At 52.0% G+C, this 17,388-nt stretch overlaps 1 protein-coding gene and 1 pseudogene across 38 annotated transcripts in view; one reads left to right on the top strand and one right to left on the bottom strand.

The window, feature by feature from the left end:
* The window catches only part of CSF2RA (colony stimulating factor 2 receptor subunit alpha), a 56,405-nt gene that overhangs the window by 9,478 nt on the left and 29,539 nt on the right, over positions 1-17,388 (bottom strand). For 14 of the 38 annotated variants that reach the window (NM_001379163.1, XM_047442716.1, NM_001379162.1 and 11 more), the window contains 3 exons: positions 15,115-15,250; positions 11,722-11,818; positions 10,214-10,295 (listed from right to left, as the gene is read on the bottom strand). In NM_001379163.1, coding sequence (NP_001366092.1) covers positions 10,214-10,295; positions 11,722-11,818; positions 15,115-15,250 — 315 coding nt within the window. Of the gene's footprint in view, positions 1-3,365; positions 3,473-5,805; positions 6,340-9,799; positions 10,114-10,213; positions 10,296-11,721; positions 11,819-12,378; positions 12,481-15,114; positions 15,251-16,675; positions 16,739-17,388 lie in introns of those variants that run through there. The other 24 variants (NM_006140.6, NM_001161529.2, NM_172245.4 and 21 more) reach the window with 10 other exon arrangements.
* Positions 15,366-15,485, top strand: RNA5SP498 (RNA, 5S ribosomal pseudogene 498; annotated as a pseudogene).

Below are 17,388 nucleotides of genomic sequence, written 5' to 3'. Positions count from 1 at the left end.
TCTATGTCTATCATCTATCTAAAATTCATCCATTATGGCTGGGCAAGGTGGCTCACGCCTGTAATCCCAGCATTTTGGGAGGCTGAGGCGGGCAGATCACTTGAGGTCAGGAGTTCGAGACCAGCCTGGCCAACATGGTGAAATCCTGTCTCTACAAAAAATATAAAAAATTGGCTGGGGGTGGTGGTGCACACGTGTAATCTCAGCTACTCAAGAGGCTGAGGCAGGAGAATCACTTGAACCTGGGAGGCGGAGGTTGTAGTGAGCTGAGATCGCGCCACTGCACTCCAGCCTGGGTGACAGAATGAGACTCTGTCTCTTAAAACAAAATAAAATAAAATAAAATTCATCTATCATCTATCTATCAAATATCTATCAGTCAATCATGTATCTAGCTATTATCTGTTACCTATACATCTATTCATCTATCATATATATTTTTCATCTGTCATCTATCAATCATCTATCTGTCTTCTATATATATCATCTATTTTTTAAATTTCTTTTGAGACCCATTTTCACCACACCTGTCCTCATCATAGAATCTGTCTCCCCTCCCTCTCTTTTCTCCACCTGCACAACCCTGATCTCACGCAGGTGACCGATGACCCTCCCCCCCACAGTGTGACTCCCACCTGCATGCATCTTATAAACAGTCTTCTCCAGTTTAGGCATGCAAAGGATTGAATGTCTGCATTGCTCTTCCTTTGGTGCAGTGTGGTTGGGCAGGTGCAGTGGGGTTGGGCAGGTGCAGTGCGATTGGGCAGGCACAGTGGGGTTGGGCAGGCACAGAGGGGTTGGGCAAGTGCAGTGCGGTTGGGCAGGTGAAGTGGGGTTGAGCAGGTTCAGTGTGGTTGGGCAGGTGCAGTGCGGTTGGGCAGGTGCAGTGGGATTGGGCAGGTGCAGTGCGGTTGGGCAGGCACAGTGGGGTTGGGCAGGTGCAGTGGGATTGGGCAGGTGCAGTGGGATTGGGCAGGTGCAGTGGGATTGGGCAGGTGCAGTGGGATTGGGCAGGTGCAGTGCGATTGGGCAGGCACAGTGGGGTTGGGCAGGCACAGAGGGGTTGGGCAAGTGCAGTGCAGTTGGGCAGGTGAAGTGGGGTTGAGCAGGTTCAGTGTGGTTGGGCAGGTGCAGTGGGGTTGGGCAGGTGCAGTGGGGTTGGGCAGGTGCAGTGGGATTGGGCAGGTGCAGTGGGATTGGGCAGGTGCAGTGGGATTGGGCAGGTGCAGTGCGGTTGGGCAGGCACAGTGGGGTTGGGTAGGTGCATTGGGGTTGGGCAGGTGCAGTGCAATTGGGCAAGTGCAGTGCGGTTGGGCAGGTGCAGTACGGTTAGGCAGGTGCAGTGTGGTTGGGCAGGCACAGAGTGGTTGGGCAGATGCAGTGGGGTTGGGCAGGCGCAGTGGGGTTGGGCAGGTGCAGTGTGGTTGGGCAGGCACAGAGTGGTTGGGCAGATGCAGTGGGGTTGGGCAGGCGCAGTGGGGTTGGGCAGGTGCAGTGGGGTTGGGCAGGTGCAGTGGGGTTGGGCAGGTGCAGTGCGGTTCTGCAAAAGCTCCCTCTCAGCCAATATTGACAGCCTCTGCCCACCCATTCCTTGGAGAGGGTCCGTAGGTGCCAAAGAACACAGGGGAGGGGCTGATCGCCACAGCCTTCAGGGGCCTCAGTCATCCTAGGCCCTATCTCTGCTGGCTGTTTTTTATTTTTTATTTAATTTTATTTTAATTTAATTTTATTTTATTTATTCATTTATTTTGAGACAGAATCTCGCCCTGTCACCCAGGCCGGAGTGCAATCGCATGATCTGGGCTCACTGCAACCTCTGCCTCCCAGGTTCAAGCGGTTCTCCTGCCTCAGCCTCCTGAGTACAGCAACTGCAATTACAGGTGCCACCACACCCGGCTAAGATTTTGTATCTTTAGCAGAGATGGAGTTTCACCATGTTAGCCAGGCTGGTCTCGGACTCCTGACCTCAGGTGATCTGCCCACCTCGGCCTCCCAAAGTGCTGGGATTACAGGCATGAGCCACTGTGCCTGGCCACAGCTCCTCTCTGTCACCCAGATTGGAGTGCAATGGCGTGATCTTGGCTCACTGCAACCTCCGCCTCCTGGGTTCAAGCGATTCTCCTGCATCAACCTCCCAAGTAGCTGGGATTATAGGTGCCTGCCACCACACCTGGCTTTTTTTTTTGTATTTTTAGTAGAGACGAGATTTTGCCATGTTGGCCAGGCTGGTTTTGAACTCTGACCTCAAATGATCTGCCTGCCTTGGCCTTGCAAAGTGCTGGGATTCCAGGCATGAGCCACTGTGCCTGACCACAGCTCCTCTCTGTCACCCAGATTGGAGTGCAGTGGCGTGATCTTGGCTCACTGCAACCTCTGCCTCCCAGGTTCAAGTGATTCTCCTGCCTCAGCCTCCTGAGTAGCTGGGATTACAGGCGTGTGCCACCACACCCAGCTTTTTTTATTTTTTTTTTTGTATTTGTAGTAGAGACGAGTTTCACCACGTTGGCCAGGCTGGTTTTGAACTCCTGACCTCAAGTGATCCACCTGCCTTGGCCTGGCAAAGCGCTGGGATTATAGGCATGGCTACCACGCCCGGCCTCTGCTGTCTCTTTGACACCGGAGGCCTCTGCTTCTGAGGTAAATAGGGCCTGAGGTCTCTGAAACCCACAGGTTCATACCCAGGAATGTGGTGCTCCCTTGGGGAGGTGGACCTGCTTCCTGGGGCGCCCTGTGGGAGTCTCCTCCTCTCACTTCTTGCAGGCCCAGAGGATTCCACGCTTTTTCTTCCTTGCTGTGTTTTAGACGCTTCTCCCCACCAAGAGCCTGGCTCCATCTCTTCCCCAAGCTTTGACTTGTGAATCAAAAGGTCAGGGGTAGAAGGTTCCGGAAGGCTGCCTCTGCTCCATCGTCAAATCTCCCCTGAAACTCTGAAGCAAGGGGCCGGCTGGGGTTTGCAGGAGGGACGTGGAACACCCACGAGGGAGGAAACAGCTGGCACCTCACCGTCAGATCCATCCCAAGCTCGGCTCTCTCTCGGCTCCAAGTCCTGAAGTCCCCTGTAGGCCCTAGACCACCTGTCAGCCACCATCTCAGTTGATGTTTCGGTATCTGTGGCGATTGAATTACTCACTGATCGTGGGAGGCAAAATAATGTCCCGTAAATATGGCCATGTCCTAATCCCATGTGGGAGACAGAATAATGGCCCCAAAGATGTCCACGTCCTAATCCCATGTGATAGACAGAATAATGTCCCCAAATATGTCCACGTCCTAATTCCATGTGGGAGACAGAATAATGGTCCCAAAGATGTCCACGTCCTAATTCCACGTGGGAGACAGAATAATGGCCCCCAGCATGTTCTTACCTGGATAAGCATGCTGTGGACACATTACAGAATGCTCTCTATGGAAGGAGGACTTTTATTCCAGGGATATTGCCATGGAGAGATGATTCTGGAGTGTCCCCGTGGGCCTGACATGTAATTACAATTGTCCTTATAAGGAACAGGTGTGGTGGTTCACACCTGTAATCCCAGCACTTTGAGAGGTTGAGGCAGGTGGATCACCTGTGGTCAGGTCAACATGGTGAAACCCCATCTCTACTAAAAATACAAAAGTTAGCCAGGTGTGGTGGCAGGTGCCTGTCATCCCAGCTACTCGAGAGGCTGAGGCATGAGAATTGCCTGAACCCGGGAGGTGGAGGTTGTAGCGAGCTGAGATCGTGCCACTGCACTCCAGCCTGAATGACAGAGCGAGACTCCATCTCAAATAATAATAATAATAATTGTCCTTATGAGAGGGAGGCAGGAGAGTCACAGTCCAGTGAGATATGAGGAGTCAACAGCAGGCCTGAGTGACAGCAACCACCAATGAAGAAAGTCAGCCTTTTCTAGATGTGGGAAATGGAGGGAAATGAATTTCCGTCTCGTCTTAGTCTGTTTTGTGTTGCTACAAAGGGATTCCCCAGGCTGGGTGATGTATTTTAAAGAGAGGTTTATTTGGCTGGACGCGGTGGCTCACGCCTGTCATCCCAGCACGTGGAGACGCCAAGGGGGGCGGATCACGAGGTCAGATGGAGACCAGCCTGACCAACAAGGTGAAACCCTGTCTCTACTAAAACACAAAACAAAACAAAAAAAAGTAGCCGGGAATGGTGGCGGGCGCCTGTACTCCCAGCCACTTGGGAGGCTGAGGCAGGGGAATTGCTTGAACTGGGGAGATGGAGGTTGCAGTGAGCAGAGATTGTGCCACTGCACTCCAGCCTGGCGACAAAGCAAGACTCCAACTTAAAAAAAAAAACAAACAGGTTTATTTGGCTGATGATTCCACAGACTGTACAGGAATTGTGCCTTCAGCATCTGCTGCTGAGAAGCTCAACAACTTCCACTCCTGGTGGGAGAGGAAGGGGAGCTGGTGTTACATGGTGGGAGAGGTGGCAAGAGGCAGGGAAGGAGGTACCAGCCTCTTTTTCTTTTTACCTTTTTTTTTTTTGGAGACAGAATCTAACTCTGTTGCCCAGGCTGGAGTGCAATGGCGTGATCTTGGCTCACTGCCACCTCCGCCTCCCGGGTTCAAGCAATTCTGCTGCCTCAGCCTCCTGAGTAGCTGGGACTACAGGTGGCCGCCACCACACCCAGCTAACTTTTTGTATTTTTAGTAGAAGCGGGGTTTCACCATGTTGCCCAGGCTGGTCTCGAACTCATGAGCTCAGGCAATCCACCAGCCTCGGCCTCCCAAAGTGCTAGGATTACAGGCGTGAGCCACCATGCCCGGGCACCAGCCTCTTTTTGATAACCAGCTCTTTCAGGAACAAATAGAGAAAGAACTCACTCATTACTACAAGAAAGGCACCAAGCCATTTATAAGGAGTCCGCCCCCTCTTCATTCAAACACCTCCTGCCAGGTCCCACCTCCAACCCGGAGAACCAAATTTCAAACTGAGATTTGCAAGGGACAAACAACCAAACTATATCATCACTTTGTCCTCCAGAAGGAACCGGACCTACTAAAAACTGGATTTATAACCCAGGGAGGCCTGGCACTGTACAATAATAATTTTTTTTTTTTTTTTTTGAGATGGAGTCTCGCTATGTCATCCACGCTGGAGTGCGGTGTTGTGATCTCGGTTCACTGCAACCTCCTCCTCCCGGGTTCACGCCATTCTCCTGCCTCAGCCTCCCGAGTAGCTGGGACTACAGGCGCCCGCTACCACGTCTGGCTAATTTTTTGTATTTTTAGTAGAGATGGGGTTTCACTATGTTAGCCAGGATGCCCTCGATCTCCTGACCTCGTGATCCTCCCGCCTCGGCCTCCCAAACTGCTGGGATTACAGGTGTGAGCCACCGCGCCCGGCCATCAATTTTTTTTTTTTTTTAAATGTGATGGAGTTTTGCTCTTGTTGCCCAGGCTGGATTGCAATGGCGCAATCTCAGCTCACCAGGTTAGTTATTCAAGGAGGAGGCTACACAGTACCTCAGTAGTTGGGTTGGAAAGAGATGCAAAAGCTTCTTGGAGTCTAAGCATCTTTGCGAAGTATCACTTTTTTTGAGACAGAGAGATGGGGTCTTAGTTTGTTACCCAGGCTGGAGTGCAACGGTGCAATCATAGCTTACTGTCAGCTTGAACTCAAGTGATCCTCCCGCCTCAGCCTCCCAGATAGCTGGCACTACAGGCACAAGCCACCACGCCCAGCTAATTTTTGCCTTTTTTGTAGAGACAGGGTCTTGCTATGTTGCCCAGACTGGTCTTAAACTCCTGTCTCCAGCAATCCTCCAAAGTGTTAGGATTACAGGCATGAGCCACGGCGCCCAGCCAAATATCAGGTTTTTATTATTTATTATTATTGTTTGTTTTGAGATGCAATCTTGCTCTGTCACGCAGGTTGGTGTGCAATGGTGCGATCTTGGCTCACTACAACCTCCGCCTCACGGGTTCAAGCAATTCTCCTGCCTCAGCCTCCCAAGTAGCTGGGATGATGGGCGTCCGCCGCCGTGCCTGGGTAAATTTCTGCATTTTTAGTCCAGATGGGGTTTCACCATGTTGGGCAGGCTGGTCTTGAACTCCTGACCTCAGGTGATCCGCCTGCCTTGGCCTCCCAAAGTGCTGGGATTACAGGCGTGAGCCACCGCGCCTGGCCCCAAATGTCATGTTTTTAAATAAAAACATAGAAAATGATATAAAGGTTCACAGCATCATCAAGAAAACAGTTCCCCCGTGTCGCGGAGGCGGAGATGTCCATGCCATTCCTACACCCTCTGGGTCTCAGGTAATTTCCTTCACGGTCAAGACCTCTTCGCGGTAGCCTTTCCCTTCCTCTGGGGTGAATTCCTCCCAGATGATCTGAGAAAAAGGAGGGTTCAGGCTGTCAGATCTTCACGAGCTCAGCCTGGGACTCAGTGGGCTGTGTTTATTTTCTTTTTCTCCCTCGAGACGGAGTCTCATTCTATTGCCCAGGCTGGAGTGCAGTGGTGTCATCTCAGCTCACTGCAACCTCGGCCTCCCGGGTTCAAGCGATTCTCCTGCCTCAGCCTCCTGAGTAGCTGGGATTACAGGCGCCCGCCACCACAAATTTGACTGATCAGATGAGGCCCACTCTTCCCCCTTTAGACCTTCGACTGATTAGATGAGGCCCACCTTTCCCCCTTTAGCCGCCACCAGCTAAATTTTGTACTTTCAGTGGAGATGGGGTTTTACCATGTTGGCCAGGCTGGTCTCAAACTCCTGACCTCGAGGTGATCCACTCGCCTCGGCCTCCCAAAGTGCTGGGATGACAGGCATGAGCCACTGCACCTGGCCATGGGTTTTTCCTGGGGTAAAGATCTGAGACAGATCCACCCATGGGACCTCATAGTTGACGATGAACAGGGTGGTCTTTGGAAGAGCTTGTGAGCATGAAACCTGGGCAGGGTACAGCAGGTGCTAAGCCCCTGGAGCTGATGGAGCTCAGAGAAGGGAAGGTTGAAGCCTGAAGCCGTCATCCTGGCACCTCGATGTGGGGGACCCCTGGGGGTCAGTGGAAAGCGGGGGCCGGGGAGGAGGCTGGCGTGGGGGTGGAAGGTAATGGAATGACAGATGGCCAGGTCTAGGATGGGGGTGTGCAAGTGGCAACCAGGAGGATGTTACCTATGTGGCAGAGAAGAGGGCGCTGGGGGCAACCCTGGGCTGCAACTGGAGTTCCCCATGGGAGGAAGACACAGCCCCTGAGCTGGAGAGAGGTGGGTGGGAGAGGGCCACCCACGGGGTCTTGGGATGTGGGTCACGCAAGTCTCTCACCCTTAGTCACCCTCTCTGGGGTCTTGCTGTTCAGCCTCTCTCTCGGTCTCTCTGCCTCTTTTCTCTGTCTCCCTCTCTGTCTCTCTTTCCTCCCCCTCTCACCTTCTTCCACCCCCATCTCTGGGTCTCTATCTCCATCTTCCTGTGTGTCTGCCTCTTTTGGGTTCAGTCTCTGTTTCTCTTTCATCTCTTGGCCTTCGTCTCTGATACCCGGCACCAATGACGTGTCCCCGTGACTAGGCTACAGTCCCCAGTTATTGAATGAAACCATGACTCAGCGGCTGCTACGAAGGGGCTTTGTAGATGTCAAGTCCACAATCAGCTGATTTCCAGGAAAAGAGATTGGACTGGAGAATGTGGGTGGGCCTTATCTAATCAGTCAAAGGTCTAAAGGGGGTGGGCCTCATCTAATCAGTTGAAGGTCTGAAGAGGGGTGGGCCTCATCTAATCAGTTGAAGGTCTAAAGGGGGTGGGCCTTGTCTAATTAATAAGCTGAAGGTCTAAAGGGGAAGGGGGGAAGGGTGGGCTTCATCTAATGAGTTGAAGGTCTAAATGGGAAGGGTGGGTCTCATCTAATCAGTCAAAGGTCTAAAGGGAGAAGGGTAGGCCTCATCTAATCAGTCAAAGGTCTAAAGGGAGAAGGGTAGGCCTCATCTAATCAGTCAAAGGTCTAAAAAGGGAAAGGTGGGCCTCATCTAATCAGTTGAAGATCTAAATGGGGGAAGGACGGGCCTCATCTAATCAGTCGAAGGTATAAAGGGGAGGGTGGGCCTCATCTAATCAGTCGAAGGTATAAAGGGGAGGGTGGGCCTCATCTAATCAGTCGAAGGTATAAAGGGGAGGGTGGGCCTCATCTAATCAGTCGAAAGGCTGAAGGGGGAAGGGTGGGCCTCATCTAATCAGTTGAAGGTCCAAAGGAGAAGCGTGGGCTTCATCTAATCAGTCAAAGGTCTAAACGGGGAGAGTGGGCCTCATTTAATCAGTTGAAAGTCTAAAGGGTAAGGGTGGGCCTTATCTAATAAGCTGAAGGTCTAAAGGGGAAGGGTGGGCTTCATCTGATCAGTCGAAGGTCTAAAGGGGAATGGTGGGCCTCATCTAATCAGTCGAAGGTGTAAAGGGGGAAGGGTGGGCCTCATTCAATCAGCCGAAAGTGTAAAGGAGAAGAGTGGGCCTGGTCTAATCAGTCAAACGTCTAAAGGATAAAAGCTGAGGTTCCCCGACAAGAGTTTTATTTCCTTTTTAAAAATTTCATCTCCCACTCTGAGAATGCAGGACAGTTCTGCCTCTGGGATGCAGCATCAGCCCTGGCCTGACTTTCCAGCCTGCCAGCCTACTGCAACATAAGACGCAGTCCCTGAGCCGGAGAGAGGTGGGTGGGAGAGGAGCGCCAATGGGGTCTCAGGGTGCAGGTCACATGGTTCCTCGCCCTTGTTCACCCTCTCTGGGCTCTCGCTGAGACTAAGTCCGACTCCTCTGTCTTCCCTGTCTCTCTCGGTGTCTCTGTGTGTCTTTTATCTGCCTCCCTCTCTGTCTTTTTCCTCCATCTGTCTCTCTCTTCCACTCCCATCCCTTGCTCTCTGTCTCTTTCTGTCTCTCTCTCTCTCTCCCCTCTCTGTGTCCACCTATGTCTCTCTGTTTCTCTCTCTGTCCGTCTTTTTCTCTTTGTCCCTGTCTCTATGTCTCCTTCTCCCTCTCTCTCTCTTTTTCTGTGTCTTTCTCTGTGTCTCTCTGTCTTTGTCTCTCTCCCCTCTCTGTGCCTCTGTTCCTCTCTGTCTCTCTCCTCTCCCTGCTGGGGATGATTTTTTTGTTTTGTTTTGTTTTTGATAGAGAGTTTTGCTCTGTTGCCCAGGTTAGAGTGCAATGGTGCGATCTCGGCTCACTGCAGCCTCCGCCTCCTGGGTTCAAGTGATTCTCCTGCCTCAGCCTCCAGAGTAGGTGGGATTACAGGTGTGCGCCACCACACCTGGCTAATTTTTGCAATTTTAGTAGAGACGAGGTTTCTTCAGGTTGGTCAGGCTGGTCTCGAACTCCCGACCTCAAGTGATCCACCCGCCTCGGCCTCCCAAAGTGCTGGGATGACAGATGTGAGTCACCGCGACCGGCCCCCGCCTGGGTCTTTATGTTTGTTGTTTATCTGTCTCTGTTTCTCCATCTGTGTCTCGTGTCTCTCTCTTTCCTTCTCCCTTTTCTCCCTCCCTCTCTCTGTTTCTCTGTCTGTGTGTCTGCCTTTGTTTCTGTCAGTCTGTCTGCCTGTTTCCCTCTCTTTTGTGTCTCCTCATTCTCTTCTACATTCCTCTCTCTCTCCTCCATCTCTCTCCCTCCATCTTTCTCTGCCTCTGTCTCTTGTCTCTATTTCTGCCTCTCCTCTCTACCTTCTTTTTTCTTTTGAGATGGAGTCTCGCTCTGTCACCCAGGCTGGAGTGCAGTGGTGCGATCTCGGCTCACTGCAACCTCCGCCCCCTGGGTTCAAGCCGTTCTACTGCCCCAGCCTCCCGAGTCACTGGGATTTCAGGCGTACACCACCACACCCAGCTAATTTTTTGTATTTTTAGCAGAGATGGGGTTTCACCACGTTGGCCAGGCTGGTCTCGAACCTCTGACCTCAGATGATCCACATGCCTCAACCTCCCAAAGTGCTGGGATGACAGGCATGAGCCACCGTGCCTGGCCCTCTCTACCGTCTTCTCCTCCTTTTCTTGACCACCACCCTGCCTCAGTTTCTCCTGATGGAGCTCACAGAGATGACTCTGACCCCAACCTTGGAGAAGACCCCGACCCGGGAGAAGGCCCAGGAGTGGGATACAGATTCCAGCCACACCGGTGGTGACGCTGCGGTCCCATCTGGTGGAGAAGCAAGATGGTCGACACCCAGAGGCCGTGTCCCACGCTCCCCACTCCCCACCTTCCATCCCAGGTCACTGCTCCGCCCACCCCTGCCTACCTCGTCTTCCACCTCATGGTTATCATTCAGTTTGTCTTTGATCTGTGGAACTGGCGGGAACAGCCGCTGTATCCTAAGGAACCTGAGACACAGAGAAAAAGTGTGAAGAGAATGAACCCCGGGTCACCAGAGTTCCTTCCATCAACGCCCTGTGCCGAGGGATGCTGCGTGCGGGGTGTCTGCGCTCAACTATGCAAAACTTCACTAAGAATCACCAAGTGACGAAAATCTTAAGGAACTAGGCCGGGTGCAGTGGCTCACACCTGTAATCCCAGCACTTTGGGAGGCCGAGGCGGGTGGATCACTTGAGGTTTGAGACCAGCCTGGCCAACGTGGTGAAACCCCGTCTCTACTAAAAATACAAAAATTAGCTGAGTATCGTGGTGCTTGCCTGTAATCCCAGCTATTCAGGAGGCTGAGGCAGGAGAATTGCTTGAACCTGGGAGGTGGAGGTTGCAGTGAGCCGAGATTGCACCACTGCACTCCAGCCTGGGTGACAGAGTGAGACTCCATCTCAAAAAAACAAAAAAAAATCACCAAATGACAAACATCTTAAGGAACTAGGCCAGGCATGGTGGCTCACACCTGTAATCCCAGCACTTTGGGAGGCGAAGGCGGGTGGATCACCTGAGGTCAAGAGTTAGAGACCAGCCTGGCCAACGTGGTGAAACCCCATCTCTACTAAAAATACAAAAATTAGGTGAGCATCGTGGTGCATGCCTGTAATCCCAGCTACTCGGGAGGCTGAGGCAGGAGAATGGCGTGAACCCGGGAGGTGGAGGTTGCAGTGAGCCGAGATTGCAACACTGCACTCCAGCCTGGGCAACAAGAGCAAAAGTCTGTCTCAAAACAAAAAACAAAAAAACAAACAAACAAAAAAAAACCCACCTCCAACCCAGAAACCACGCTCTTCAAGGCTAGTGGGATCAAGGCAGGCGTTTCCCCTCTGGAGCTCAGCCCTTCAACAGCAGTGACTTCAGACTCCCTGAAGCTGCCCACAGCTGACTGCCTGTTCCATTCCCATCCCTGTGCCCGAGGGGCTGAGGGAAGATTCTAGAAAGATTCCCTGTGAGCATCACTGTGTATTCCTGTAGGATCTCCCGTTTTCTCCGTTCTTTTGTTTGTTTTGAGATGGAGTCTCGCCCTGTCGCCCAGGCTGGAGTGCAGTGGTGCAATCTCGGCTCACTGCAACCTCCACCTCCCGGGTTCAAGCGATTCTCCTGCCTCAGCCTCCCGAGTAGCTGGGACTACAGGCGCCCGCGACCACGCCGGGCTAATTTTTTAGTAGAGACGGGGTTTCACTGTGTTAGCCAGGATGGTCTCGATCTCCTGACCTCGTGATCCACCCGCCTCGGCCTCCCAGAGTGCTGGGATTACAGGCATGAGCCAACACGCCCGGCCAAGGCTGTGTTTCTCTTTCTCAGAGACAGAGACAGAGACTGGACAAAGCGCTTTCCTCCCGGCCTGGCCTGTTTTCATTGGGGAGGCCCAGGTGTTTCACAGGTTACCTTTTAAAGAGGAAGCCGAGGACGATGCCACAGACAAGGGTTCCCACGATTAGGAGCACATAAATGTACACAGAGCCGAGGTTCCCGTCGTCAGAACCTGGAGAGACACACAGGTTTGCGTCTGCGGTGAATCGTTGACGGACATGTGAAAGGAAATTAAATCTCTTCGGGTGTCCAAATGCATTTAGCCAAAGGGAACAGTCAAGCTGAGAACTGGGCCCAGCAAACCTGCCTCCCTGTTTTTGGTTCTTAACTAAGATGGCTCTGAGATGAAAGCAACCTGCCTGCCCTATGTTTTGCCCACAAGGAAATTTCTGGTGAGCTGTTAAAACTTTGCCACCATGGGCCGGATGCGGTGGCTCACGCCTGTCATCCCAGCACTTTGGGAGGCCGACACGGGAGGATCACCTGAGGTTGGGAGTTCGAGACCAGCCTGACCAACATGGTGAAACCCCGTCTCTACCAAAAATACAAAAATTGGGCCAGGCACGGTGGCTCACACCTGTCATCCCAGCACTTTGGGAGGCCGAGGCGGGCGCATCATCTGAGGTCAGGAGTTCGAGACAAGCCTCACTAACATGGTGAAACCTCATCTCTGCTAAAAAAAAAATACAAAATTAGCCAGGCATGGTGGTGGGTGCCTGTAATCCTATCTACCTGGGAGTCTGAGGCAGGAGAATCGCTTGAGCCTGGGAGACGGAGGTTGCAGTGAGCCGAGATTGTGCCATTGCACTCCAGCCTGGGTGACAGAGTGAGACCCTGTGTCAAAATAAATAAATAAATAAAAATATTTAAAAAATGGCCAAGCATGATGCATGTCTGTAATCCCAGCTACTCAGGAGGCTGAGGCAGGAGAATCGCTTGAGCCTGGGAGACGGAGGTTGCAGTGAGCCAAGATCGTGCCATTGCACTCCAGCCTGGGTGACACAGCGAAACTCCATCTCAAAATAAATAAATAAATAAATAAAAATAAAAATACAAAAATTGGCCAAGCGTGATGCATGTCTGTAATCCCAGCTACTCGGGAGGCTGAGGCAGGAGAATCGCTTGAACCCGGGAGGCGGAGGTTGCAGTGAGCCGAGATCGTGCCATTGCACTCCAGCCTGGGTGACAGAGTGAGACCCTGTCTCAAAATAAATAAATAAATAAAAATATTTAAAAAATGGCCAAGCATGATGCATGTCTGTAATCGTAGCTACTCAGGAGGCTGAGGCAGGAGAATCGCTTGAGCCTGGGAGACGGAGGTTGCAGTGAGCCAAGATCGTGCCATTGAACTCCAGCCTGGGTGACACAGCGAAACTCCATCTCAAAATAAATAAATAAATAAATAAAAAGAAAAATACAAAAATTGGCCAAGCGTGATGCATGTCTAATGTAATCCCAGCTACTCGGGAGGCTGAGGCAGGAGAATCGCTTGAACCCAGGAGGCAGAGGTTGTAGTGAGCTGAGATCGTGCCATTGCACTCCAGCCTGGGTGACAGAGCGAGAGTCCGTCTCAAATAACAAAAAATAAATAAACAAAAAAAATTTCTTACAGGTGCAGTCACCCCGGCCCACCAGACACGAATGCACCTCTGATCATCCCTGTACCCCATTTTGTCTGTGTGATCTGGGAGGTAGAGGTGCACCACTGCACTGCAGCTCACAATTTTTCTTCTGTACCCTTTGTTGAGGTGAAAACCGCATACTTCTCAATATCCTGCCCCTTCCCCTTTTCAATTTGGAGCCCTCAAAATCATCTTCAGAGAAAAGCATAGACCTGTCTCCTGGGCAGCCGAGACCTGGCTTTGAAGAGAGCTTCCCCGGACGGGCAGGGTGGCTCACGCCTGTCATTGCAGCACTTTGGGAGGGCGAGGTGGGCAGATCACCTGAGGTCAGGAGTTCAAGAACAGCCTGACCAACATGGTGAAACCCCGTCTCTACTAAAAATACAAAATTAGCCGGGTGTGGTGGCGGGCGCCTGTAATCCCAGCTACTCGGGAGACTGAGGCTGGAGAATTGCTTGAACCTGGGAGGCGGAGATCGCGGTGAGCCGAGATGGCACCACTGCACTCCAGCCTGGGCAACAAGAGCGAAACGCCATCTAAAAAAAAAAAAAAAAAAAAAAGAGGGAGGGCCGGGCACGGTGGCTCACGCCTGTAATCCCAGCACTTTGGGAGGCCGAGGTGGGCGGATCACGAGGTCAGGAGATCGAGACCATCCTGGCTAAAAAACAGTGAAACCCTGTCTCTACTAAAAAAAAAAAAATACAAAAAATTAGCCAGGCGTGGTGATGGGCACCTGTAGTCCCAGCTACTGGGGAGGCTGAGGCAGGAGAATGGCGTGAACCCAGGAGGTGGAGCTTGCAGTGAGCCGAGATTGCGCCACTGGACTCCAGCCTGCGACAAGAGCGAAACGCCGTCTCAAAAAAAAAAAAAAAAAAAAGAAAAAAAGAGGGAGAGAGCTTCCCCTTGGCCAGGGAGCCGGAATGGTGACGGTTTGACCGGACAAAGACTGACTGATTGTTTCCCAGTGGAGCAGAGGGAGGTGGGACTTTAGGAGGGCTATCAGTGGGGTCCTTCTCTGGCTATTAAGGGATTCTAGCTCATCCACCCTGAAAAAAACACCAGCAAAGCAATGTTGCATGACCCCGTATGAGTATGAGACCACCTCCTTCTACTTTTTCTTTTTTTTTTTTTTTTTTTTTTTGAGACAGAGTCTCACTCTGTCACCCAGGCTGGAGTGCAATGGCGTGACCCCAGCTCACTGCAACCTCCACCTCCCGGGTTCAAGTCATTCTCCTGCCCTCAGCCTCCTGAGTAGCTGGGATTACAGGAATGTGCCACCAATCCTGGTTAGTTTTTGTATTTTTTTTTCTTTTTTTTTTTGAGACGGAGTCTCACGCTGTCACCCAGGCTGGAGTGCAATGGCGTGATCCCAGCTCAGTGCAACCTCCGCCTCCTGGGTTCAAGTGATTCTCCTGCCTCAGCCTCCCGAGTAGCTGGGATTACAGGCACCTGCCACAATGCTGGGCTAATTTTGTATTTTTAGTAGAGACGGGGTTTCACCATGTTGGCCAGGCTGGTCTCAAACTCCTGACCTCCGGTGATCCGCCGGCCTCAGCCTCCCAAATTGCTGGGATTACAGGCGTGAACCGCTGCACCTGGCCCTTCTCTGGTTATTAAGGGAGCCAACTCATCCGTCCTGAAAAAACATCAGCAAAGCAATGTTGCGGGACCAAGTACGAGACCACCTCCTTCTTTTGAGCCTCAGCGATAAGCTCAGAGCCTGACACTACTCCCAGCGACGTGCTCAACTCGATCTCAGCGCCCAGGACAGAGCACCTGACCTCTGTGCCTGCTGCAGGGTGGCCGCAGACGGCACAAACATCCCTTACCTCCGCCCAACGCTTACCAAATTCAATGGCTTCACTCCAGGAGCTCCAATTCAAGATGCGGACGTCTGCAGCTCTGATCTTCACACTGTGTTTTGCTCTGGGCTCAGAGCTTGGAAAGTTGTATCTATTTTCCAAATCACCAGAAACATTAATCTTTGGAGGAAAAAAGAAAGTTAGAGATAGGCGTCTTCTGTGTGGAGGAAAAGGTTGCCTTTTTTCGTTCTTTTGTCTTTTAAGTTTTTTTCTCCTTTTCTTTTTTTCTTTTTCTTCTTTTTTTTCTACCACTCTGAATGCACTTGGTCTGATCGGGTCTTCGAAGCTAAGCAGAGTCAAGCCTCGTTAGTATTTCGATGGGAGACAAGTTGGGAAAATTTGGGTGATGTAGGCTTTAAGCTTTTTTATTTTATTTTATTTATTTATTTTTTGAGACGGAGTCTCCCTCTGTCACCCAGGCTGCAGTGCAGTGGCGCGATCTTGGCTCACTACAACCTCCACCTCCAGGGTTCACACCATTCTCCTGCCTCAGCCTCCCCAGTAGTTGGGACTACAGGTGCCCACCACCACGCCCGGCTAATTTTTGTTGTATTTTTAGTGGAGACGGGGTTTCACCATGTTGGCCAGGATGGTCTCGATCTCCTCACCTCGTGATCCGACCGCCTCGGCCTCACAAAGTGCTGGGATTACAGGCATGAGCCACCACGCCCGGCCTCTTTTATTTTATTTTATTTGAGACACTCTCGCTCTGTCGCCCAGGCTGGAGTGCAATGGCATGATCTGGGCTCACCGCAACCTCCGCTTCCCGGGTTCACGCCATTCTCCTGCCTCAGCCTCCCACGTAGCTGGGATTACAGGCGCCCGCCACCACGCATGGGTACGTTTTGTATTTTTAGTAGAGATGGGGTTTCTCCATGTTGCCCAGGCTGGTCTTGAACTGCTGACCTCAAGTGATCCGCCCACCTCAGCCTCCCAAGGTGCTGGGATGACAGGCGTGAGCCACCGTGCCTGGCTAAAATTTTATTTTCTGAAACAGAAATTGTTGGCCAGGTGTGGGGGTGGGTGCCTGTAGTCCCAGCTACAGGCTGAGACTGTAGAATCTCTGTAGGGAGGCTGAGGCAGGACAATCGCTGGGAGGTGGAGCTTGCAGTGAGCCGAGATCGCACCACTGCACTCCAGCCTGGGGGACAGAGCGAGACTCCGTCTCAAAAATAAATACATACATAAATAAATGATTCAGGATCAACAACTGATATTAACAGACCTTCAGACGGATAGTTTAGCAAGGGATATTAAGATCCCCAAGTCTAGCATACTCATCGGACAGAGGAGGATACCGAGGGTCAGAGTGGCCGCGAGACTTGGTAAATACCCGGCAACAGTACTCACTCTAAAAGCATTTTAGAGGGAGACATAATCTCCTTAGACAGTCACTAGAATATATTCTTAACCCACGTAGAGGAAAGAGGAATAAAATGGGAAAATCAGTAGAACAGGCTGAGCATAAATATTCCAACCATTGGGACACGAAGGTTGAGGCCAAGAGCAGACCCTGCCCAGTGAGAACTATGAGGGGGCCCTCACCCGTGTGAGATCTGCATCCTCTGGTTCAGGATCCACCGTGTCCACCCCTGGGCCACACTGGCACTAAGAGTCCCATAAACCAAGACTGTAGGGTTCGTGGAGACTGTAGGGTGACGCTAGGGTTGTGAGTGGTTCAACTGTATGTCGGGCAGAGTATTCTCCTGTCTACACTGGATCCAGGTAGACGTGGGGCAGGCTCTCCTTCTTGTCTACACTGGGTCTAGGGGGAGGTGAGGTGGGGTCTCCTCCTGATCACACTGGGTCTAGGCAGACATAGGTCGTGGGTAGGGGACTATAGGGTTACACTGGGGGTCATGTGGGGTTACACTAGGGGTCGTGAGTAGGGGACTGTAGGGTTCCACCAGAGGTCATGGGTAGGAGAGTGTAGGGGTCGTGAGTAGGGGACTGTAGGGTTCCACCAGGGGTCATGGGTAGGAGAGTGTAGGGGTCGTGAGTAGGGGACTGTAGGGTTCCACCAGAGGTCATGGGTAGGGGACTGTAGGGTTCCACCGGGGGTTGTGAGTAGGGGATTGTAGGGTCACACTACGGCTCCTGAATAGGGGACTGTAGGGTTACTCCAGGGGTCATGAGTAGGAGACTGTAGGGGTCGTGAGTAGGGGACTGTAGGGTTCTGCCAGGGGTCATGGGTAGGAGAGTGTAGGGGTCGTGAGTAGGGGACTGTAGGGTTCTGCCAGGGGTCATGGGTAGGAGAC

Source organism: Homo sapiens, chromosome Y, assembly GCF_000001405.40.
Source record: "Homo sapiens chromosome Y, GRCh38.p14 Primary Assembly".
Classification (NCBI taxonomy): Eukaryota; Metazoa; Chordata; class Mammalia; order Primates; family Hominidae; genus Homo; species Homo sapiens.
This window is presented reverse-complemented; position numbering and strand designations above follow the sequence as displayed.